Source organism: Homo sapiens, chromosome 14, assembly GCF_000001405.40.
Source record: "Homo sapiens chromosome 14, GRCh38.p14 Primary Assembly".
Lineage (NCBI taxonomy): Eukaryota > Metazoa > Chordata > Mammalia > Primates > Hominidae > Homo > Homo sapiens.
In genome coordinates, this window is record NC_000014.9 from 26,630,681 (window position 1) to 26,656,991 (window position 26,311).

A 26,311-nucleotide genomic window follows, 5' to 3' on the forward strand; every position below is an offset into this window, starting at 1 on the left:
TATAGTTTGAAGTCAGGTAGTGTGATGCCTCCAGCTTTGTTCTTTTGGCTTAGGATTGACTTGGCGATGCGGGCTCTTTTTTGGTTCCATATGAACTTTAAAGTAGTTTTTTCCAATTCTGTGAAGAAAGGCATTGGTAGCTTGATGGGGATGGCATTGAATCTGTAAATTACCTTGGGCAGTATGGCCATTTTCACGATATTGATTCTTCCTACCCATGAGCATGGAATGTTCTTCCATTTGTTTGTATCCTCTTTTATTTCCTTGAGCAGTGGTTTGTAGTTCTCCTTGAAGAGGTCCTTCCCATCCCTTGTAAGTTGGATTCCTAGGTATTTTATTCTCTTTGAAGCAATTGTGAATGGAAGTTCACTCATGATTTGGCTCTCTGTTTGTCTGTTGTTGGTGTATAAGAATGCTTGTGATTTTTGTACGTTGATTTTGTATCCTGAGACTTTGCTGAAGTTGCTTATCAGCTTAAGGAGATTTTGGGCTGAGACAATGGGGTTTTCTAGATATACAATCATGTCGTCTGCAAACAGGGACAATTTGACTTCCTCTTTTCCTAATTCAATACCCTTTATTTCCTTCTCCTGCCTAATTGCCCTGGCCAGAACTTCCAACACTATGTTGAATAGGAGCGGTGAGAGAGAGCATCCCTGTCTTGTGCCAGTTTTCAAAGGGAATGCTTCCAGTTTTTGCCCATTCAGTATGATATTGGCTATGGGTTTGTCATAGATAGCTCTTATTATTTTGAAATATGTCCCATCAATACCTAATTTATTGAGAGTTTTTAGCATGAAGCGTTGTTGAATTTTGTCAAAGGCTTTTTCTGCATCTATTGAGATAATCATGTGGTTTTTGTCTTTGGCTCTGTTTATATGCTGGATTACATTTATTGATTTGCATATATTGAACCAGCCTTGCATCCCAGGGATGAAGCTCACTTGATCATGGTGGATAAGCTTTTTGATGTGCTGCTGGATTCGGTTTGCCAGTATTTTATTGAGGATTTTTGCATCAATGTTCATCAAGGATATTGGTCTAAAATTCTCTTTTTTGGTTGTGTCTCTGCCCGGCTTTGGTATCAGAATGATGCTGGCCTCATAAAATGAGTTAGGGAGGATTCCCTCTTTTTCTATTGATTGGAATAGTTTCAGAAGGAATGGTACCAGTTCCTCCTTGTACCTCTGGTAGAATTCGGCTGTGAATCCATCTGGTCCTGGACTCTTTTTGGTTGGTAAACTATTGATTATTGCCACAATTTCAGCTCCTGTTATTGGTCTATTCAGAGATTCAACTCCTTCCTGGTTTAGTCTTGGGAGAGTGTATGTGTCAAGGAATTTATCCATTTCTGCTAGATTTTCTAGTTTATTTGCGTAGAGGTGTTTGTAGTATTCTCTGATGGTAGTTTGTATTTCTGTGGGATCAGTGGTGATATCCCCTTTATCATTTTTTATTGTGTCTATTTGATTCTTCTCTCTTTTTTTCTTTATTAGTCTTGCTAGCGGTCTATCAATTTTGTTGATCCTTTCAAAAAACCAGCTCCTGGATTCATTGATTTTTTGAAGGGTTTTTTGTGTCTCTATTTCCTTCAGTTCTGCTCTGATTTTAGTTATTTCTTGCCTTCTGCTAGCTTTTGAATGTGTTTGCTCTTGCTTTTCTAGTTCTTTTAATTGTGATGTTAGGGTGTCAATTTTGGATCTTTCCTGCTTTCTCTTGTGGGCATTTAGTGCTATAAATTTCCCTCTACACACTGCTTTGAATGCGTCCCAGAGATTCTGGTATGTTGTGTCTTTGTTCTCGTTGGTTTCAAAGAACATCTTTATTTCTGCCTTCATTTCGTTATGTACCCAGTATTCATTCAGGAGCAGGTTGTTCAGTTTCCATGTAGTTGAGAGGCTTTGAGTGAGATTCTTAATCCTGAGTTCTAGTTTGATTGCACTGTGGTCTGAGAGATAGTTTGTTATAATTTCTGTTCTTTTACATTTGCTGAGGAGAGCTTTACTTCCAAGTATGTGGTCAATTTTCGAATAGGTGTGGTGTGGTGCTGAAAAAAATGTATATTCTGTTGATTTGGGGTGGAGAGTTCTGTAGATGTCTATTAGGTCTGCTTGGTGCAGAGCTGAGTTCAATTCCTGGGTATCCTTGTTGACTTTCTGTCTCGTTGATCTGTCTAATGTTGACAGTGGGGTGTTAAAGTCTCCCATTATTAATGTGTGGGAGTCTAAGTCTCTTTGTAGGTCACTCAGGACTTGCTTTATGAATCTGGGTGCTCCTGTATTGGGTGCATATATATTTAGGATAGTTAGCTCCTCTTGTTGAATTGATCCCTTTACCATTATGTATTGGCCTTCTTTGTCTCTTTTGATCTTTGTTTGTTTAAAGTCTGTTTTATCAGAGACTAGGATTGCAACCCCTGCCTTTTTTTGTTTTCCATTTGCTTGGTAGATCTTCCTCCATCCTTTTATTTTGAGCCTATGTGTGTCTCTGCACATGAGATGGGTTTCCTGAATACAGCACACTGATGGGTCTTGACTCTTTATCCAATTTGCCAGTCTGTGTCTTTTAATTGGAGAATTTAGTCCATTTACATTTAAAGTTAATATTGTTATGTGTGAATGTGATCCTGTCATTATGATGTTAGCTGGTGATTTTGCTCGTTAGTTGATGCAGTTTCTTCCTAGTCTCGATGGTCTTTACATTTTGGCATGATTTTGCAGCGGCTGGTACCGGTTGTTCCTTTCCATGTTTAGCGCTTCCTTCAGGAGCTCTTTTAGGGCAGGTCTGGTGGTGACAAAATCTCTCAGCACTTGCTTGTCTGTAAAGTATTTTATTTCTCCTTCACTTATGAAGCTTAGTTTGGCTGGATATGAAATTCTGGGTTGAAAATTCTTTTCTTTAAGAATGTTGAATATTGGCCCCCACTCTCTTCTGGCTTGTAGGGTTTCTGCCGAGAGATCCGCTGTTAGTCTGATGGGCTTCCCTTTGAGGGTAACCCGACCTTTCTCTCTGGCTGCCCTTAACATTTTTTCCTTCATTTCAACTTTGGTGAATCTGACAATTATGTGTCTTGGAGTTGCTCTTCTCAAGGAGTATCTTTGTGGCGTTCTCTGTATTTCCTGAATCTGAACGTTGGCCTGCCTTGCTAGATTGGGGAAGTTCTCCTGGATAATATCCTGCAGAGTGTTTTCCAACTTGGTTCCATTCTCACCATCACTTTCAGGTACACCAATCAGACGTAGATTTGGTCTTTTCAGATAGTCCCATATTTCTTGGAGGCTTTGCTCATTTCTTTTTATTCTTTTTTCTCTAAACTTCCCTTCTTGCTTCATTTCATTCATTTCATCTTCCATCGCTGATACCCTTTCTTCCAGTTGATCGCAGTGGCTCCTGAGGCTTCTGCATTCTTCACGTAGTTCTCGAGCCTTGGTTTTCAGCTCCATCAGCTCCTTTAAGCACTTCTCTGTATTGGTTATTCTAGTTATACATTCTTCTAAATTTTTTTCAAAGTTTTCAAGTTCTTTGCCTTTGGTTTGAATGTCCTCCCGTAGCTCAGAGTAATTTGATCGTCTGAAGCCTTCTTCTCTCAGCTCGTCAAAGTCATTCTCCATCCAGCTTTGTTCCGTTGCTGGTGAGGAACTGCGTTCCTTTGGAGGAGGAGAGGCACTCTGCGTTTTAGAGTTTCCAGTTTTTCTGTTCTGTTTTTTCCCCATCTTTGTGGTTTTATCTACTTTTGGTCTTTGATGATGGTGATGTACAGATGGGTTTTTGGTGTGGATGTACTTTCTGTTTGTTAGTTTTCCTTCTAACAGACAGGACCCTCAGCTGCAGGTCTGTTGGAATACCCTGCAGTGTGAGGTGTCAGTGTGCCCCTGCTGGGGGGTGCCTCCCAGTTAGGCTGCTCAGGGGTCAGGGGTCAGGGACCCACTTGAGGAGGCAGTCTGCCCGTTCTCAGATCTCCAGCTGCGTGCTGAGAGAACCACTGCTCTCTTCAAAGCTGTCAGACAGGGACATTTAAGTCTGCAGAGGTTACTGCTGTCTTTTTGTTTCTCTGTGCCCTGCCCCCAGAGGTGGAGCCTACAGAGGCAGGCAGGCCTCCTTGAGCTGTGATGGGCTCCACCCAGTTCGAGCTTCCCGGCTGCTTTGTTTACCTACGGGAGCCTGGGCAATGGCGGGCGCCCCTCCCCCAGCCTCGCTGCCGCCTTGCAGTTTGATCTCAGACTGCTGTGCTAGCAATCAGCGAGACTCCGTGGGCGTAGGACCCTCCGTGCCAGGTGTGGGATATAGTCTCGTGGTGCGCCGTTTTTTAAGCCGGTCTGAAAAGCGCAATATTCGGGTGGGAGTGACCCGATTGTCCAGGTGCGTCCGTCACCCCTTTCTTTGAGTCGGAAAGGGAACTCCCTGACCCCTTGCGCTTCCCAGGTGAGGCAATGCCTCACCCTGCTTTGGCTCGCGCACGGTGCGCGCACTCACCGGCCTGCGCCCACTGTCTGGCACTCCCTAGTGAGATGAACCCGGTACCTCAGATGGAAATGCAGAAATCACCCGTCTTCTGCATCGCTCACGCTGGGAGCTGTAGACCGGAGCTGTTCCTATTCGGCCATCTTGGCTCCTCCCCCAAAAATAATAGTATTCTAAGTGGATGTCACTGTCTACACTATGACAAGAGTAAAACGCAGAGGAACTAACCCATTTTCAGCCTGCTTGCCTAATAAACTGATTTTCTTATGTAACACAGATAAATTTGATGCATAGGTCATCAATATCTTATAGAAATTTAATATCATAAAAAAAGATACAAGCTGAAGGGATGGTCAATTATAGTCATCCCATTTTTGTCCTGATAGTTGACATCTGCCTATACAGATGATGATAGTTATTAAATATTGCATTGAAATTCATGTCTATGATAAAGCAAACTTAGAGATTACTGGGGAATAGAGGAATTCTCTAAGAAGAAAGATCAGCAATTCAAAATATTTTCTGTTGAAGCAAAGCTTCAATAAATTTAGAAATAACTCACAAGAAGGCTGAATGTCTAAAGAAAGAAATGCATGCCAATTCAGGTTTTCAAGCTAACCATTTTTTAATCTTCTCTGGTGTAGAATTTAATTTTATCTTCTAATTTAGTCATACAAACTTTTACTTCTACTTTGAATGCATCTATAACATATGGTATATATCTATTATCTTCTATGTCATTTAGTTATTAAAGTAACTTTCCATAGCTCATAAAAGTAATGTTTTTCACAACAGAAATTTAGAAGACTGACAAGACATATTTATAAGATACCATTGTACCTCTACCACACAGATTGTCATCCAGATAAGCAAAAAGTAAAATAATGTTATCTGTGAGCACAATAACTCAATATATAGGAATTCAAATGTTTTTTTATTTGGTCATCAAGGAAGCTTCATTTGTCTTCTCTTTTTTGGCCTGTTAGATTACTCCATTGCATTTTAGTGCTATCTTCTGTTACATGTGTTTCACAATTAATTCAAAACCTCCTTGTCAAATTATTTATTCTGTAACTCAACTAATGAAAAATATCTTAAATAAATTAATTGCATACTTAAAGAACACATCTAGACATATGGATCTGCTTTCCTGCCATCCTGAATCATGAAGATAAGCAGTTTTCAGCTAAGGCTGTTAGTGTCTTACCTCCATCAGTGGAGCTTTGGAGAATGGATCAATGGGAGGATGTGGCCTGTAGTTTTCAGATCTATTTGGCCAGGATCAGTAAAATTACACTTTATTTACAATATTCTTATTTTCTCTTGTTGATTATATGACAGCATACTAAATCAGAGAAATCATAGTGTTGTTGCTTAGTTACAATGGATTTTCATTTTCAGTAATTCTTCAGCAAGTAAAAAGATTTTAACTCTTTTTTTTGTTTTTTTTTGTCATTAAAACAAAGGGACTATGATGTCTCGTCTTAAAATCAACTCCAATTTTTTTATTCACTTTTGTTTTCGCTTTTTTCTCTAGCTAACTGCCTTTCCTCATTCTAAAGTTAGCTCTGCTAAATTTGAATATCTTCCGCCAAAATACTTTCTGGCAATCTACCAATGTTTTCACCATTGATATGTGTCAGCTTTCAGGATTTTTCAGTCTGTTGATTTGTTTCTCTTTGAATTCATCCTTCTTCATTCTGAATAGCTTCTGTATTACACGTTTCTGCTTGATTTTTACTGTGGATGAAGCAACGCTTCCTACTTAGCAAAAATAAATTAAAGAATTCTTTCACTTCCAGAAGCCAGAGAGATCAAAGTGCAGTCTGAAGAGTCTGATCATCACTTAAACTTGGGGGCAAACAAACGAAGCAGAAAGAAGCTTGCCGGTTCCATTAAATTTTATTCTTGCACACTCAGTGAACCTGGAAGATGATTTTACATTTTAACTAACTAGGCTTTTTATTATTTGCAAAAGCTCCAATTTAAAGTCTTGACTGAAGATTCTTTAATTCATGCACAAACCACAAAATGTATTTTTTTTTTTTTGCAGCAACAGTGAGAGCTCAGAAATTCCCAGACTGTTTTGATGATAAGGTCCAAGAACTTGCCATGTGATCCATCACTACTAGACTCCCACAACTGCATTAGATTTGTTCAGGATTTTCATATAATTTTCATAACTGGCTAAGGTAGGTCATACTAACATAAAGTCCTAGCATGTATAATATTGAATTTGTTCTTTACCAATATCTTATGGGATCTAAACCTGCTACTATATCCTTCTTTATATTATTACAGTGTTGAAGAACACATTTCCATTAGACATTATGTTTCTCATGTTTGAAGAACATTTTCTCTTGTTCAATATTTAGAAGTAGCATGACATGGTAGAAAAGCCTCTAGACTGATTATTAAGAGGCCTGGTTTTTCATCCTGTTATGTCTTGACTCATTTTTTATGATACTTTTATATTATTTAAGTTGCTTTTGTTATAAGGAACAGAAGCTCACCCTAGCTAATGTAGGAAAAAAATAATTTCTTGGAGGATATAAGAAGATACAAGGATAGCTTATTTAAAAAGAAACAAGAAAAACTTTAAAAAATAAAACTCAGGGCAGCTTTTGGAATCCTGGTAGCAACAACAAAGAACTCATCAGGTACTGCTGATGGGATAAAACAGGTCCAAACCCTCTCAGTCTTCTTTTTCTTTCTTGTTTACTCCTTGCTCTGTCACAAATTTCAGATAAAACATATCTTATTGATCTAAATTGAAGAACATGAAGGGAAGCAAATCCTCTTGATTGATTTCCTAACTGGACTGGACTTAATGGGAGAAGACCACTTACCTCAAAACAAAATTCAAGTGTGTTAATGGGAAAAGAAAAAAAAAGATATTGGCAAAATAACAAAATGCAAAAGGATGTGGCAAAAATAACAAGTTGTTCACTCAACCTTTATGCTTCCAAAGACGTCACCCCATATTGCTATGGTTTGTTTGATAGGAAATATTAGAAAAGAACCATAATAATTCAACTTGATAATTATATGTGTTTAAATGGGAGCCACTTTCTAGCAGTTCTTTCACTGCTTTGGACCATTTCCTTATTCTCCTATAGTAGGCTATAGATGTAGCTTTCAAACTGACAACATGGCATCTAGTTTTATTCATCATCCTCCTAACTGCTCATCCATAACTTTTAGAGTTATTCTAAAATATAATTTTGTGTCTTGGAAGCTTTCAGTGGCTTCAGCATTATCTATAGATAAACGTAATACTGTTCCGTCGACATGTTTGGCAGAATTAGATGCCCATTCTACTTAGCTATTACAGCATTCTGTCTATAACTTCTTTACAGTTCTCAAATCACTGAATAATTATTGTAGGACAGAGAAAACGTCTGTTTAAAACAAAAATATTTCAGATAATTGTATATAATTCTGGCTTTCTTGCTGCTGCTGTTTTCTAAGACAATTCATATCTGCTTTAAAAAAAAATTGTATAGTTCTAGCCAGGCACTGTGGCTCACACCTGTAATCCCAGCAGTTTAGAAGGCAGAGGAAGAGCTCAGGTGTTCAAATCCAGCCTGCACAACATCGTGAGACTTCACCTCTCCAAAAAAAAAAAAAAAAAAATTATTAGCTGGGCATTGTTTTACATGCCTGTAGTCTCAGCTACTTGGGAGGCTGAGGTAGGAAAATCACTTGAGCCCAAGACATTGAGGTTGAGGCTGCAGTGAGCTATGGTTGTGCCACTGCACTCCAGCCTGGGTGACAGAGTGAGACCCTGTCTCTAAAATAAAATAAAGTAAAATAAAATAAAATAAAATAAAATAAAGAAAAAGAAAGAGAAAAACTCATTATAGTTCCTTGTCACAGAGGTTCATAGAGGAAGAATGAAAATTGACACATATTTAAGGAAAAACAGCAAAATTTTCAAAAACTCTGTAAGTTCTTCCATTCTGTTAAAAGGTCCAAACCTGGAGTGAACAGTTATTCATTTAATGGGCCACCTTAATGAATTTGTGTATATACACAACTGACTTGAATTTCATTCCTCTGTACAATCAAGTGACAAGTGATGTGAATTTTTATTTTCCGGTGACAACATGGGGTAGAGTGGTTTAAGGAGCCTGCAAAGCAGAATGAAAAACAAATTTGAAAAAGATTTTAAGGAACAGAAAGTCATGCAATGTGGAAAGCCTTTTCGGTTGGGGAATCTTCACAGTAAAACCAGCCAGTGAGGATTTCCCAGGATAGGAATTGCCAAAAGCTTGTGATAATAGTTGCATCCAGGTTGGGTGCAGTGGCTCACACCTGTAATCCCAATATTTTGGGAGGCCAAGGCAGGAGGCTTCCTTGAGTCCAGGAGTTTGAGACCAGCCTGGGCAACATGGCGAAACCACATCTCTACAAAAAATACAAAAAAAATAGCCAGGTGTCATGGCACGAGCCTGTAGTCCCAGCTACTCTGGAGACTGAGGAGGGAGGATCAATTGAGCCCAGGTGATAGAGTCTGCAGTGAGAAACATAAAAGTTAATCTATCATGCTAAAAATGTCATTGAAATCGTGTCACTGCACCCCAGGCTGAATGATAGAGTGAGACCCTGTATCCAAAAAAATAAAAAGTTGCATCCAGTATTTAATTTTAAGTCATTTGCTCTTCCATTTTTCCATGTATTTTTTTTTAATTATACTTTAAGTTCTGGGATACATGTGCAGAACGTGCAGGTTTGCTAAATAGGTAAGCATGTGCCATAGTGGTTTGCTCCACCCATCAACCCGTCATCTACATTAGGTATTTCTCCTAATGCTATCCCTCCCCTAGCCCCCCACCTCCCAACAGGCCCCAGTGTGTGATGTTCCCTTCCTTGTGTCCATGTGTTCTTGTTGTTCAACTCCCACTTATAAGTGAGGCATGCAGTGTTTTGTTTTCTGTTCCTGTGTTAGTTTGCTGAGAATGATGGTTTCCAGCTTCATCTATGTCCCTGCAAAGGACATGAACTCATTATTTTGTATGACTGCATAGTATTCCATGTTGTATGTGTACCATATTTTCTTTATCCAGTCTATCATTGATGGGCAGTTGGGTTGGTTCCCAGTCTTTGCTATTGTGAACAGTGCTGCAATAAACATACATGTGCATGTGTCTTTATAGTAGAATGATTTATAATAATCCTTTGAGTATCTACCCAGTAATGGGATTGCTGGGTCAAATGGTATTTCTGGATCTAGATACTTAAGGAATCGCCACACAGTCTTCCACAATGGTTAAACTAATTTACACTCCCACCAACAGTGTAATAGCTTTCCTATTTCTTCATATCCTCTCCAGCATCTGTTGTTTCCTGAGTTTTTAATAATCACCATGCTAACTGGCATGAGATGGTATCTCGCTGTGGTTTTGATTTGCATTTCTCCAATGACCAGTGATGATGAGTTTTTTTTCATATGTTTGTTGGCTGCATAAATGACTTCTTTTGAGAAGGGCCTGTTCATATCCTTTGCAGGCTTTTTGATGGGCTTGATTGTTTTTTCCTTGTAAATTTCTTTAAGTTATTTGTAAATTCTGGATATTAGCCCTTTGTCAGATGGATAGATTGCAAAAATTTTCCCCCATTCTGTAGGTTGCCTGTTCACTCTGATGATAGTTTCTTTTGCTGTGCAGAAGCTCTTTAGTTTAATTAGAGCCCATTTGTCAATTTTGGCTTTTGTTGCCATTGCTTTTGGTGATTTAGTCATGAACTCTTTGTCCATGCCTATGTCCTGAATGGTATTGCCTAGGTTTTCTTCTAGGGGAGGTTTTATGGTTGTAAGTCTTATGTTTAAGTCTTTAATCCATCTTGAGTTAATTATTGTGTAAGGTATAAGGATGTTGTCCAGTTTCAGTTTTCTGCATGTGGCTAGCTAGTTTTCCCAACACCATTTATTAAATAGGGAATCTTTTCCCTATTGCTTGTTTGTGTCAGGTTTGTCAAAGATCAGATTGTTGTAGATGGGTGGCATTATTTCTGAGGCTTCTGTTCTGTTCCATTAGTCTATATATCTGTTTTGGTACCGGTACCATGCTGTTTTAGTTACTGTAGACTTGTGGTATAGTTTGAAGTTGGGTAACATGATGCCTCCAGCTTTGTTATTTTTGCTTAGGATTGTCTTGGCTATATGGGCTCTTTTTTGGTTCCATATGAAAGTTAAAGTAGTTTTTTCTAATTCTGTGAAAACAGTCAATGGTAGCTTGATGGGGTAGCATTGAATCTATAAATTACTTTGGCCAGTATGGCCAGTTTCGTGATATTGATTCTTCCTATCCATGAGCATGGAATGTTTTTCCATTTGTTTGTGTTCTCTCTTGTATTCTTGAGCAGTGGTTTACAGTTCTTCTTGAAGAGGCCTTTCAAGTTGTATTCTTAGGTATTTTATTCTCTTTGTAGCAATTGTGAATGAGAGTTCACTCATGACTTGGCTCTCTGTTTGTCTATTATTGTTGTATAGGAATGCTTGTGATTTTTGCACATTGATTTTGTATCTTGAGACTTTGCTGAAGTTTTTTATCCGCTTAAGGAGATTTTGGGCTGAGATGATGAGGTTTTCTAAATACACAATCATGGCATCTGCAAACAGAGACAATTTGACTTCTCTTCCTATCTGAATATCCTTTATTGCTTTCTCTTGCCTGTTTGCCCTGGCCAGAACTTCCAATATTGTGTTGAACAGGAGTGGTGAGAGAGGACATCCTTGTCTTGTACTGGTTTTCAAAGGGAATCCTTCCAGTTTTTCGCCATTCAGTATGATATTGGCTGTGGGTTTGTCATAAATAGCTCTTATTATTTTAAGATACATTCCATCAATACGGAGTTTATTGAGAGTTTTTGGCATGAAGGTGTGTTGAATTTCATTGAAGACCTTTTCTGCATCTATTGAGATAACCATGTGGTTTTTGTCATTGGTTCTGTTTATGTGATGGATTACGTTTATTGATTTGCATATGTTGAACCAGCCTTGTATCCCAGGGATGAAGCTGACTTGATCCCAATGGATAAGCTTTTTGATGTGCTGCTGGATTCTGTTTGCCAGTATTTTATTGAGGATCTTCACATTGATGTTCATCAGGGATATTAGCCTGAAATTTTCTTTTTTTGTTGTGTCTCTGCCAGGTTTTGGTATCAGGATGATGCTGGCCTCATAAAATGAGTTAGGGAGGAGTCCCTCTTTTTCTATTGTTTGGAATAGTTTCAGAAGGAATGGTATCAACTCCTCTTTGTACCTCCGGTAGAATTTGGCTGTGAATCTGTCTGGTCCTGGGCTTTTTTGTATTGGTAAGCTATTAATTACTGCCTCAATTTCAGAACTTGTTATTGATCTGTTCAGGGATTCGACTTCTTGGTTTAGTCTTGGGAGGATGTATGTGTCCAGGAATTTATCTGTTTCTTCTAGATTTTTAAATTTGTGTAGAGTTGTTTGTAGTATTCCCTGATGGTAGTTTTTATTTTTGTGGGATCAGTGGTGATATCCCCTCCATCATTTTTTATTGTGTGTATTTGATTCTTCTCTGTTTTCTTTCTTATTAGTCTGGCAAGTGGTCAATCTATTTTGTTGATTTTTTTTTCAAAAAACCAGCTCCTGGATTCATTGATGTTTTGAAGGGTTTTTTGTGTCTCTAGCTGCTTCAGTTCTGCCCTGATCTTGGTTATTTCTTGTCTTCTGCTAGCTTTTGAATTTGTTTGCTCTTGCGGCTCTAGTTCTTTTAATTGTGATGTTAGGGTGTCGATTTTAGATCTTTCCTGCTTTCTCCTGTAGGCATTTAGTGCTATAAATTTCCCTCTAAACATTGCTTTAGCTGTGTCCCAGAGATTCTGGTATGTTGTGTCTTTGTTCTCATTGGTTTCAAAGAACTTAGTTCTTTCTGCCTTAATTTCGTTATTTACCCAGCAGTCATTCAGGAGCAAGTTGTTCAGTTTCCATGTAGTTGTGTAGTTTTGAGTGAGTTTCTTAATCCTGAGTTCTAATTTGATTGCACTGTGGTCTGAGAGACTGTTATGATTTCCATTCTTTTGCATTGGCTGAGGAGTGTTTTACTTCCAATTATGCGGTCAATTTTAGAATAAGTCCGATGTGGTGCTGAGAAGAATGTATATTCTGTAGATTTGGGATGGAGAGTTCTGTAGATATCTATTAGGTCTGCTTGGTCCAGAGCTGAGTTGAAGTCCTGAATATCTTTGTTAATTTTTTGTCTTGTTGATCTGTCTAATATTGACAGTGGGGTGTTACAGTCTCCCACTATTATTGTGTGGGAGTCTAAGTCTCTTTGTAGGTCTCTAAGAGATTGCTTTATGAATCTGGGTGTTCCTGTATTCGGTGCATATATATTTGAGATAGTTAGCTCTTCTTGTTGCATTGATCCCTTTACCATTGTGTAATGCCCTTCTTCGTCTTTTTTGATCTTTGTTGGTTTAAAGTCTGTTTTATCAGAGACTAAGATTGCAATCCCTGCTTTTTTTTTTTTTTCTTTCTATTTGCTTGCTAGATCTTCCTCCATCCCTTTATTTTGTGCCTCTATGTATCTTTGCACATGAGATGGGTCTCCTGAATACAACACACCGATGGGTCTTGACTATCCAATTTGCCAGTCTGTGTCTTTTAACTGGGGCATTTAGCCCATTTACATTTCAGGTTAATATTGTTATGTGTGAATTTGATCCCATCATTATGATGCTAGCTGGTTATTTTGCCCACTATTTGATGTGGTTTCATCATAGCGTTGATGGTCTTTACAATTTGATATGTTTTTGCAGTGGCTGTTACTGGTTTTTCCTTTCCATATTCAGTGCTTCCCTCAGGAGCTCTTGTAAGGCAGGCCTGGTGGTGACAAAATCTCTCAGCATTTGCTTCTCTGTAAAGGATTTTATTTCTCCTTCACTTATGAAACTTAGTTTGGGTGGATATTAAATTCTGGGTTGAAAATTCTCTTCTTTAAGAATGCTGAATATTGGCCCTCACTCTCATTTAGCTTGTAGAGTTTCTGCAGAGAGATCCACTGTTAGTCTGATGGTCTTCCCTTTGTGGGTAACCTGACCTTTCTCTCTGGCTGCCCTTAACATTTTTTCCTTCATTTCAACCTTGGTGTATCTGATGATTATATGTGTTTGGGTTGCTCTTCTCAAGGAGTATCTTGGTGGTGTTCTTGGTATTTCCTGATTTTGGATGTTGGCCTGCCTTGCTGGGTTGGGGAAGTTCTCCTGGATAATATCCTGCAGAGTGTTTTCCAACTTGGTTCCATTCTCCCGATCACTTTCAGATACACCAATCAAGCATAGGTTTGGTTTTTTTCACATAGTCCCATATTTCTTGGCTGCTTTGTTTGTCCCTTTTTATTCTTTTTTCTCTAATCTTTTCTTCATGCTTTATTTCATTAAATTGTTCTTCAATCTCCGATATCCATTTTTCCATTTGATCGATTTGGCTGTTGATACTTGTTTATGCTTCACAAAGTTCTCGTGCTGTTTTTCAGCTCTATCAGGTCACCTATGTTCTTCTAGAAACATATTATTCTAGTTAGCAATTCCTCTAACTTTTATCAAGGTTCTTAGCTTCCCTGCATTGGGTTAGAACATGCTCCTTTAGCTCAGAGGAGTTTGTGGTTACCCACCTTCTGAAGCCTACTTCTGTGAATTTGTCAAACTCATTCTCTGTCCAGTTTTGTTCCCTTGTGGTGAGGAATTGTGATCCTTTGGAGAGGAGGCGTTCTGGTTTTTGGAATTTTCAGCCTTTTTCTGCCGGCTTTTCGTCATCTTTGTGGATTTATCTACCTTTGGTCTTTGATGTTGGTGACCTTCGGATGGGGTTTCTGGGTGGACGTTCTTTTTTGTTGATGTTGCTACTCCTTTCCGTTTGTTAGTTTTCCTTCTAACAGTCACGCCCCTCTGCTGCAGGTCTGCTAGAGTTTGCTGAAGGTCCACTCCAGACCCTGTTTGCCTGGGTATCACCATCAGAGGCTGCAGCACAGCAAAGATTGCTGCCTGTTCCTTCCTCTGGAAGCTTCATCCCAGAGGGGCACCTGCCAAATGCCAGCCGAAGCTCTCCTATATGAGGTGTCTGTCGACCCCTGCTGGGAGGCGTCTCCCATGCAGGAGGCATGGGGGTCAGGGACCAACTTGAGGAGGCAGTCTGTCCCTTAGCAGAGCTCGAGCGCTGTGCTGGGAGATTTGCTGCTCTCTTCAGAGTCAGCAGGCTGGAACATTTAAGTCTGCTGAAACTGTGTCCACAGCCACCCCTTCCCCCAGTTGATCTGTCCCAGGTAGATGGGAGTTTTATATATAAGTCCCTGACTGAGGCTGCTGCCTTTCTTTCAGAGATTCCCTGACCAGTGAGGAGGAATCTAGAGAGGCCGTCTGGCTTTGCTGAACTGCGGTGGCCTCTGCCCAGTTTGAAATTCCTGGCGGCTTTGTTTACAGTATGAGGGGAAAACTGTCTACTCAAGCCTCAGTAATGGTGGATGCTCCTCCCTGCACGAAGCTCGAGCACCCCAGGTTGACTTCAGACTGCTGTGCTGGCAATGAGAATTTCAAGGCAGTGGATCTTAGCTTGCTGGGCTACATGTGGGTAGGATCCGCTGAACTAGACCACTGGGCTACCTGGCTTCAGCCCCCTTTCCAGGGAAGTGAATGGTTTTGTCTCACTGGCATTCCAGGAGCCACTGGGGTATGAAAAGACTCCTGCAGCTAGCTCAGTGTCTGCCCAATGACCACCCAGTTCTGTGCTTGAAACCCACGGCCCTGGTGGTGTAGGCACCCAAGGGAATTTCCTGGTTTGTGGCTTGTGAAGACTGTGGGAAAAGCATAGTATGTGGGCCAAAGTGCACCATTCCTCATGGCACAGTCCCTCATGGCTTCCTTTGGCTAGGGGAGGGAGTTCCCTGACTCCTTGCGCTTCCCTGGTGAGATGACTCCCACCCTGCTTCTCCTAGCCCTTTGTGGGCTGTACCCACTGTCTAACCAGTCCCAGTGAGATGAGCTGGGTACCTCAGTTGGAAATACAGAAATCATCCACCTTCTGCTTTGATCTTGCTGGGAGCTGCAGACTGGAGCTGTTCCTATTCAGCTATCTTGCCTGTGACCTTTCCATGCCTTTATATTGGACATTGCGTCTATCATTTCAATATCCCTTCCCCTCTTCCCTGATTATGTGGCAACCATTTGGTTTAGATGAGATGAACCTTTTTTTCTCCTCCAACAGTCATAGCAAATTAGTCTAAATGATCAGGTAATCTCATAATACTCTACATAGCAATTAGTTTGAAAGTAGTCTAGGCTGAATCCATTCAACACTTTTCCTAACATGTTCTGAGACAGCACTGTTTCCTCTGCCTAGAACTCCCATCTTTCAGATGTCTACATGACTTCTACAGTTTCTTCAAGTTTCTCTTTAAATATACCTTCTCCATGAAGTTTTCCTTTACTCCCCTAACTAAAACATAAACTACATCTTGTGCCCTTCTGTGATCACTGCATATTTATATTTATTGACTTGTTTATTATCTATCTCCCCAAAGAAAAATGCAACTCTGTGACAGCAGAAGTTTCTGAGTATTTTTTTCACTGTAAATTCCCCAATTCTTGGACCAATAACTGTTTGTTGAATGAATAATTTTGTGTAGTTAGAGATTTATTTTTCTACCACATACAACCAAAAATCCTAAGGGCTACAGCTCTGATTTAATGTCCATTCACTATACCATTATTGTTATTATTTTTTTTTTAGAAAACTCAGTTAAATCTGAAGATCTTATATTTCTGGGAACTTTGGGAAATATGAGATAAGTTATTTGTCCCTTTTAGGGTAACTTGGTCACAAAAAATGAAACATTGTTGTAAGAATGTATCAAGGAAAGTGGAGCGAAAGGCCAGTAGGAAAACCAAGACTCTCTGGAGAAGTCAACAGGTGAGAAAGAAGGCTATGTTTTTTAAACATATACAGAATAGGAAAGCTAGTTCATGTAAATATTAAGGGAAGTGTGATAACTCAAGGCTGAGACTGGGTCTTTCCATTTATCATTGATCCAGTACACAGAGAAGGTGTTCAATAGATTGTTATAGAAATGAAATAATACTGGAAAAGAGTTTGGAGTTGGAATTGCCACTAACTAGGTGTTAGATGTGTTATTTAGTCTGCTTTTGCTAGGCCTTAGTACCTTCATCTATAAAATAAAAGTGTTGGACTTCATAATTAAGTCCTTTTCAACTGTAAAATATCCTATAATTTTAACTGCTTATATATGAGTGGAGACATGCACATACTTTCATCTAATGGAAATAAAGATATAGTTCTTAAAAATTTCCCTTGCAAATGTATTTTGGTTAATATAGCTGCCATCAATTTGGCTTATAAAATAGTGTTTTCAATGATCTTTTAGCATGATAGATTAATTTTTATCTTCCTAAAGCCATTTCCTCTGAATGCTGCTGAATTCACACTTCACTAATGGCAAGGATCCGATTAGAACTAATTTCGTAGTGATTCTTTGACATTTTCAAAAACAGAAATGTGTGTGCTTTTCTGAATAAAAGTCAGAGCATACCATAAATTGTAAAAGTTACTATTAAAGTTCAGTCTAATATTGGATAGTAGTATGAAAGTAAAAGTGCCTGAAAGGCTGAACACTTGCAAAATGAGTTTCTTTAAAGTTTTTCCATCCTTCATTTCTTTTAGTTTTATCTCCCATAATTCTGTACACCCAGATCCACTAGACCTGTTTCCAGACTTCTGTCCCTGTCATTACCCACTTTGTCAGTTCCTCAGCTTCACTATTTGATAAAACTTAAAGAAGCTGATGGTGTTTAGCAGCATAGGCTAACAAGTCAGCCTCTCTCACTCACCAAGAGTGAGAAGTCAATGCAGAAACTCAGTCCTGTGGATAGGGTCTGTATAGGAGAGAACAGAGACTTCTAAGTGACATAAGCACCAGCAGTTTGTCCCTGAGTCCCAAATTAATGAATCTAGTACAAGAAAATTTGGGAGAGAAACACAACATCTTAACATTTGTGACTGGGCCGCTTGATTATATTACTAGGAAGTATGACAATTTCAAATCTACTTCAATGATGGAGTTTTGCTTCTGGAAGAATTCTTCCCTAGGCTGGACTTAATTCAGAAACTAAATGATGGTCCTGTTCTACAATAAGAATTCATTAGTGGAGCAAGCCAGAGAAAGTAAAGGCAGGAGGAAGAAGGGAGCTAAAAATGCCTTTACTTTTATCGTAAGGAACCAGTGAGTCAGACATAAGAAGGAACAATAAGGTTTAAGTGAGAGTATAATTGCTGAGGCTAAGGAAGTGGTTTAATAAAGAGTATAATTAATAATTTAAGTGAATTTCCATTTATTCATAAGTTAAAATTTAATTTGTGATATGTTAAAAATGGTATAAATTCAAAACTATTTTACAAAATCTATCAGAAAGGGGTCAGATTTCATACCGATGCACAGTTGTTTTTTAAAATAAAAATTCAGCGTAAGTTTTCTTTTTCCTTCCCCAAACCAAAATATATCTTCCTTTTCTCCCTCTTTTTTTCTCTTCTTTCCTCCCTTCTTACCTTCCCTTCTCCCTTTCCTTTGAGTCCTGTAGGGCATAGCTAAATTTTATACAGGGGCCATGTTGAATGTGAAAGACAACGTGTTCAAAACTGCGCTCATATTCAATGAGTAAGTAGCTCACACTATGAGAGACCTACTGAGCTGATGGTGGTTTCAGGTCTCCCGTCTCGTGTTCATTTTGGAGTAGACGTTTAATGACTGGAATAGCACATAAATTACCTGATTACTTTTGTATTTTTTTCTTTTTCTTTTTGGCCAAGTGTGCATAACTGAAATTTCAGAAGTTCAGTGCTATATGATATGACTATCTTATCATGCTGAAGAGAAGCTAAGGATATGGATTAGGAAAAGGCCATTTAAATACCTATTTAGGTGGTTATAAATGACATCTGAATAAAATTTATAAACAATATTGAGGAAATGTGAGCCAAATAACAGAGCTAATTAAGAAGTTTCTGGATCTGTTAAAGAAAGAGGCAATTATTGATGGAATTTTTGAAGAGCACTGTTCCTTAAACTTTGGAAAGCCTAATTATCTTGAGTGTTTGGGTAAAAATGCAGATTCTGGTCTCATTCCAGTAATTCTGATTCAGTAAGATCAGGATGGAAACCAGAAAAGAGAACTTTAAATGAACAAAAGGTGTTTTGGATGTTGGTGTCCTCTGGTCTCATTTTGAAGACCCAGGTCCTAGATGGAAAGAGAAGGAAAGACAATGACCATACATTGGGGGTTAGTTTTGGCAAGGAAAATGCTGAGTTTTCTCCTGAAGGAGAAGAGAAGATTTTTAAAATGAAATTAAGAAAGAGCTAAACTGAGGTTAGAAAGAAGACAGTGGTCTTAATTTGGAAGATGAGATAGACTGAAAGATGATCTTTCAGGAGTCAGAGAATGGTGAAGAGCAACCAGGGGAAGCTTGAAAAGCACGGATAAGGTTTGAAATAGCTCTTATAGCTGAGTGATTATGGCAAGGCACTGGGTCTGCTTGGGTCTTCATAATATTATCTGTTAAATGATGAGATTGGAGCATCATAAACTTGGAGGCCCTTCCCAACTATAAACAATTGTTCAGTTCTTCCATGGGAGAAGTTTCCGTCAGCACATCATCTCTGAGTATAAAGTACTGCTATCCATAACAGTTGTGACAGCAGGTATTTTCCTCCAGGCTCAGGGACAGGTCCTCTGAAGGCAACATATTTCCATCTTAAGGAAAAATGATTTCAACTATAATCTCCGTACTGCCTAACCTCTATTTTGACTCTAAGAATTATTTTCCTAAAGAGTGAACAATAAACATTGTTAAACAGCAGTGATTAGCCAATTTAAAATTGGGTAGTATAAACTTTTGGAAAACTGAGTCTGTAAGATTCTACAATGTTGTCCCATTTTGGCAAGCAAATCAATCAGTAACTTGAAAGGCGATGATCTACCTCTAAATTATATATTTTTATTTTTTCTTTCTACTGCTCCTTTTCACTATAGGCTTGGGATTTTTGTTGTTGTTACTATTGTTTTAGTTTTTCCTGTCTCATCTCTTAACTTGACTCTCCTTATTGATGTTAACCATGAATGTCGGGAAAGCAGTGATACAGCATATATCCTTCTTGGACAGAGAAAAAGAGATTCAGACAAGTACTTATACAGTTAGAAATTGCAATCCATTCTACTTTTGACTTAGTTATGGTAGATGGCAGCTCTCTGATCTCATGCTGATGAACAGATTGAATTATAAATACAAAGCTAATATTTATTGGATGCTTACTGTGATTCAGGCCTCTCTAGCATCAAAAGAGAGTGCCCGAAGAGTGCCCTTGTATATAGAAAGTGTGATATTTAATTTTGTTAACTTGACTAGGCTGTGGATCCAATTTTTTTGTCAAACACCAGTCTAAGATGTTACTATGAAGACATTTCTTCAATGTGATTATCATTTAAATAAGTGGACTAAGTAAAGCAGTTTACCATCCATAATGTGGGTGGGCCTTATCCCATTCATTGAAGGCCTTAAGAAAAAAGACCAAAGTTTCCTGAAGAAAAAGGAATTGTGCATCCAGATTCCCTTTGGATGCAAGACTGCAACATCAACTCTTGCTGGAATTTCCATCTTATCAGCCTGCCCTGCCCTGTGAATTTCAGACTTGCTAGCCCCTATAATCACAGGAGCCAATTGCATAAAATCTCTGCTCTGTGTATGTTTATACGTATATGTGTGTGTATATTTGTATGTGTGTGTGTATATATATGTATATGTATATATGTGTGTGTGTGTATATATATCTGTGTTTATGATATATATGTCAGGGTTCTCCAGAAAAACAGAATCAATAGGAAAGCATATATATATATATATTCTATATATATATATATGGAACCCTAATACAGAAGGCAACTTATGAAACATGGAACCTCCTAATGGGTCAGTGGCTTCAATCTATTTGGGATGAAGAACATTGCCAAGACTCAGATGAAAGGCACAAACTTTTTACCCAGGAAAATGTGTTTGCAGGTACATACATATAAAATTTTGCACACCTACTCATGCAAGGTATCTGAGGATTAATCCTTGTACTGGGTTTAGATATCAAACTGATTTGTTTCTAAGTAAAATGCAATGAGACCTTCTAGGTTGGAGGTCTTATTGATTTTCACTCAGATTGCAGATAGAAGTTAAAGGCCAAAAATGTGGTGCGCAGATAAGAATATTATTTACAATCTTCTTCTGGAAGGACCTGAAACAAAAAAACTGCTTCTGTTGATGCACTTTTGAAGGACATTAAAATTGCAAAATGCACACATTCTGAGGCAGCATAGGGTATAAAGCCAAAAAGTTAATGGGAAGGGAGGGCTCCCACATGACAGTTGAATTGACACAATAGTTTTACCAAACACACTCAGAAACTCAACTACTGGAATGAGCATGAGAAATAGGTAAAAATAAGAGCAACCCAAATAGGCGCTGATTCTTAATCCCAAATTGTCAATGGAAGATTGCATAAATTCCTTCCAGAATCTAGAATATGCCTATTCTTTGTTTCTTGTTACTTTATGGAAAATTATTCCTTTTAAGATGATTTTGTAGATATTTCAAAGAAAATTTTAGAGAGTTGATTTTCAAAGGGCTACTGTCTCAAGTGATGATCTTTGACCCATAAATATGAGCAAAAAGTGGCTGCTAGAAATTAGTACAAAGAGGACTCAGATTCTGTAAAAGTTTAGTAAAAACAAAAAAAACTGTATAAAATAGAGCAACACAAAATATGAAGGATATCATTTGTTGAATTTAAAAGATCAGAGATCTTCAGTTAAATATTTTGTAGGTTAACTCATTTTTTGCATATATCAAAAAAATCTTGTCCTATCATCTCAACATATATAGGTACGACTTCTTATTAAGTCATTGTACTTTAATTTAATGCTACACTGTTATCAAAAATATTCAAACCCTCGTATACAAAAATTGTAAGCTGAGAAATGAAGAATGCTATCATAGCATTGTTTATAGTTTTGCAATGAATTTAATGCTAGGCAAGTTCAGGCATACGTAAAGGTGCAGGCTGAAATTATAGAGTAAGATTTTGTTAAGGATTGGCAAGTCATGTTATAACAAATTCTGTGTATAACATGGTACGAAGGTTAATTTTATGTGTCAACTTGACTAAGCCACAGGATACTTATATTTTGGCCAAACACTGTTCTGGTGTGTCTGTGAGGATGTTTTTGAATGGGATTAACATTTCAATTGGTAGAATCAATAAAGCAGATTGCCCTCCCTTTTGAGGGTGGGTCTGGGTTCAATCAGTTGATGGTCTCACTTAAACTGAAACATCAGCTCTTCCTAGGTCTCAAATGTGTCAGACTTCGGACTGGAACTACACCATCCGCTCTCCTGGATCTCTAGTTTAGTGACTCACCCTGCAGATTTTGGGACTTGTCAGTCTCTATAATTGGGCCAATTCTTTATAATAAATCTCTTTCTCTGTCTATGTATATACATTCTATTAGTTCTGTTTCTCTGGAGAATACTGACCAATGCACATAGTATTAAAATAGTTTTAGCACTTATTTTAAATTTTGGATGCTTCTATGCTTTCTTTGATAGTGGTATTGTAGGCTTTATATTCTTGCATACCTTTAATATTTACAAAGATTACATTTTTCAAATGTTTAAAATTACTCTTAAAACTAAAATTATTGTTAAAATATGAAAAATATGGAAAGAATCTTGTGATAAGATTGATCTGGTTTAAGATGATATAAGATGTTGTATTATGTTAATAAGGTTATTCAGTTGATGTCCGCATTAATAAAAACATAGAATAAAATATTTTGCCAGAAATTCTATAAAATCACTAGAAATTTAAAGACAAAATATAGCAAGAAAGATAAAGACAAGTTATTTTTGTTGGGATCATTTTTATGGCAACAAAAGTTACTCAAATCCTTGATACGTTTATGCAGTGAAATTTTGAAAAGAGTTTTACAATCTCTGCCAAGTCACTACATCATGAAACAAAACAAAGTGAGCAGAAAAATAGGCTTTCAAATTCTTTCAGAATAAATGAAACAGCTTAATGTTATCGAAAATTTATGCAAACACAATTTGAATCTGATGCTGAAAATGCACTTATTAAATGACATTCTATTATATTGTAACAATTAAATTAGATTAGCAGGCAGCTACAAAAATACAATTAGTACATTGTCTGAAAATGAAGCTAAAAGAAGAATGTGCATACAAGTTATTTGACAATTAGTTTATAGACTGACATATGTGAAATGTTTACAATTCAACTGTACAAGAGAAAAAATAGTTTAGAGCTCCCTATTTGCTTATTTTTATACGATATGTGATACAAGGAAACTTATTACTTTGCAAATCACTTGGCATAAGCAGAAAAAGAAATTTGGTTTAAAATTGTGAGGAAATAATTCAATAAAAATCAGCATAAGTTCTCTAAATTTTAAAATATAACAGAAATGAATATTTCATTATGAAGATTTAAGTTTCAATCTGTTTATCCATGCTTTTTCAAAATGAACACAGATATAATTATGTGCCATACTGTAAGCTAATTCATGTGTTAAGTGATTTGTAAACATTATCTCACTTAATATCCTATGAGGTAGATATAATTAGCATTACGAATTTACATCTCAAGTAAACGGTTTAAAGAAGTCAAGGTCAAATAGCAATTAAATGGGGGAGGCAGAGCTCTAGTTGCAGGTCGTTCACCCTTCAAACCTTATTCCTTTAACAGCTATTATATTATAACTTGTAAGAATTCAACTTTGAAATAATAGTTTTCTCTAAATCCTCTTTCATGCTTGTGGATCAGTTAAATTAAAGTGTGTCATGAGATTGCAAAGCATGTCATTCAAAACTATTAGATTTAGAAACTAATTTTCTATGTGAATTCAGACTTTCTTCTAAAGGTAAACCAAATTAAATAAAGAAATTAATTAAATGTTGATGTTGAGGCTACTGTGATATACATAGCAATAATTTAAAAATTTATAGAAACACTATCATTGTTCTCATTTAATTACTTTCTATTAAGTAACCATTTTAAATTTAAACTTAGAAAATGTGGTTGTACTAAAGTTAACACTTTCATCTCTTCCTTGAGTTCAAGATTTGACTTGAAAAATTACAAATTTTATACAAAATGAACATTTATTTATGACAAATTCTCTATTGTCTCATATTTATGACAAAAACCACTATACACCCCAAAATTATCTCACATCCAGGTCTTCAAACTGAATCCTGAATTCTTATCAATGAACTGTGCTGTTTACAGATAAGTTTGTCTCAATATATTAAAAATATTTAAATAATCATAGTTTTAAAACTAATAAAAGAAACCAAAGTAAAGATAACCAGTAGTTTTTTCAAGAAAAAGTTAACTTTAGATATATAATTTTTAGTATATAATTTTTTTATTAGAGATTTACTAAGCTATCAAAAATAAAAGTCTTTCTGTTTGGTTTTTATTTATTTTAATTTCCTATATAATTTGGCATGTAAAATTTCAGTTTTGCTGCAATCGTAGATAGATAAAACTTTTGAACATTTTGCTTATTTGATAATTATTTTCAAGAAATTACCTTCACCTGCATTGTGTTTCCATTTCACTATAGAATCATATCACTCTCTACCTCAAAAATAGCTTCTTTCCTATATTCTTTCATAATAATAGTATCTGGAATTTTATACTTTAGTGTTTAAATAGATTATTTTCTTGTTTTTCAATCAGACAGTGCATAAAATATTTCATGAGCCTTTAAATACTGCTTTGTTCTTAACAGCAGGTTATCAAAATTAAAAGTTCTATGATTAGTGGTATATATCAAATTCAAATAACAAAATACATGCAATAATTTCTTTTTTATCTTCCTAATCCTACGTGGCCAATTTCACGTTCAACCATGTCAGAATTATCTGTGACCAAAATATGCGGAGCGTCAATTTGTAATGGCTTGTAAATATAGGTCTACATGTTGTGGGATTAATATTTTTCATGCACAGCAAATCAGAACAAACATATTTTCTTCAGTCATGTCAGACCCTGACAATGTCATATTCACACGCCCTTCACAACCAAGACCAAGACATTCACAGTTTGTAAAGAGACTGAGTTGATAAGTGACAGAAACTGACAAGCACCAGCTTCAGATATCATTTTAGAGATCCTGCATTTATGATTTATGTAAAATGTATAAATCAGAGTACCCAAAATTACATTTTTAGTAATAGAATGATAGTAAGTTCATCTCCTTCAAACAGCAAAGAAAACAAGCCTATTTACCTTTTCCTTACTTAATAATTTCCTAGTTAATAATTTAGGCATTTTGTAATATTTATTATAGTTTAAGCTTATTAATAATGACAAATGTAGTAAAGACACCTGATTTGAAGTAGAAAAGAGGGGTACAAAAAGATACCTGGGGGCCAGATAGACTTATTAGCTGGATGACTTTGACAACTTTCTTAATCCTCTAAGTAGCAATTTTTAAAATATGAAATATGAGAATATTAAGGACTACCTCACATGTTTTTGTGGGGATTAAATTTTTAATCAGTACAAAATTACTAGTGCAATCTGGCTGGAAGTAGGTACAGTACTCAGTAAACATTCATTCTCTGCCCTTGTTTTTTCAGTGTTTTTCTCTCATTAACTATCTAGAATTATGTTACCCAACATGGTAACCACCAACCATTTGAGTGTATTGAGCACTTGAGGTGTGGCTATTCTGAAATGAGATGTGTTGCAAGTGAAAAATATATACTAGATTTTGAAGACTTATGATAAAAAATGCAAAATATATAATTTAATATTTACATTGATTATATGTTAAAATGGTACTATTTTATATATATTACTGTGCATGAAATACAGTATTAAATAAATTTCATGTTTCTTTTTCTTAATGTACTGCAAGACAATTTTAAATTACATACGTATTTGTGTCTCACATTGTATCTCTATTTAATAGTGCTTACCTAGAAATGAAAAGATTTTAGAATTCCAAGATTTTAATAAAATTCCCAATTTATATAAAAAAAGAAAACGGTTTAACTATGCTTTCATATTTTAGATTCCTTGTAGAAACAAATAATATATTATTACAATCTTATAAAAAGAAAATCAAATCATATCAGCTAACAAAACAGAGTTACAAGGTGAAAAGGAGTTTTTCTTCATCTACTACAATTTAAAAAATGGGAATAAAGTAGAAAAAAATCATATTGTTATCCTTGTTCTCCCTGCCTTGAATATAATGGCTGTATAGGGCATCGCTCAAGCCCATATTCTTTACAGCCAAAGAAGTCAAGTGTTCTCCTGAACTACCTAAGATTTATTGAGGTCTTGACCAGTCAGATTCCTTAACCTAGAGAGGGCCATAGCCAGTTTCTCAGAAGGCAGAGAGAGTGACAAAAGGAACTGCTAGTATTAGATATTCTGAGCAACTTCTATATACTATAATAAAGCATGCTTTGTAAAAGGCAAGTCTGCTCATGTCTTTTTCCTTCTTAAAATCTTCAATTACTCCTCACAGTTTTTACGAGAAAGCTAGAAGTCTAATTTCTTGAACAGAAGTTTCCCTTGTTAACATATAAAATTGTTTTTTCTCCTTTTCCCTATAAAGGTGTGGAGCATTACAGGGGTAGGAGTCCTCTCTGCCTCATGCCTGCTTTAGGCCATGCAGTCCAGCCTTACCTGGCCTAGCCACACTTCTGGTGTAATAAGAGCATGTGAAA

At 36.9% G+C, this 26,311-nt stretch overlaps 1 long non-coding RNA gene across 1 annotated transcript in view; it reads left to right on the plus strand.

The window, feature by feature from the left end:
• Window positions 1-26,311, plus strand: part of NOVA1-DT (NOVA1 divergent transcript) — a 207,821-nt gene that overhangs the window by 32,034 nt on the left and 149,476 nt on the right. Inside the window, exon 2 of the long non-coding RNA NR_147061.1 lies at window positions 6,515-6,653. This is a non-coding gene — a long non-coding RNA (NOVA1 divergent transcript). The remainder of the gene's footprint in view (window positions 1-6,514; window positions 6,654-26,311) is intronic.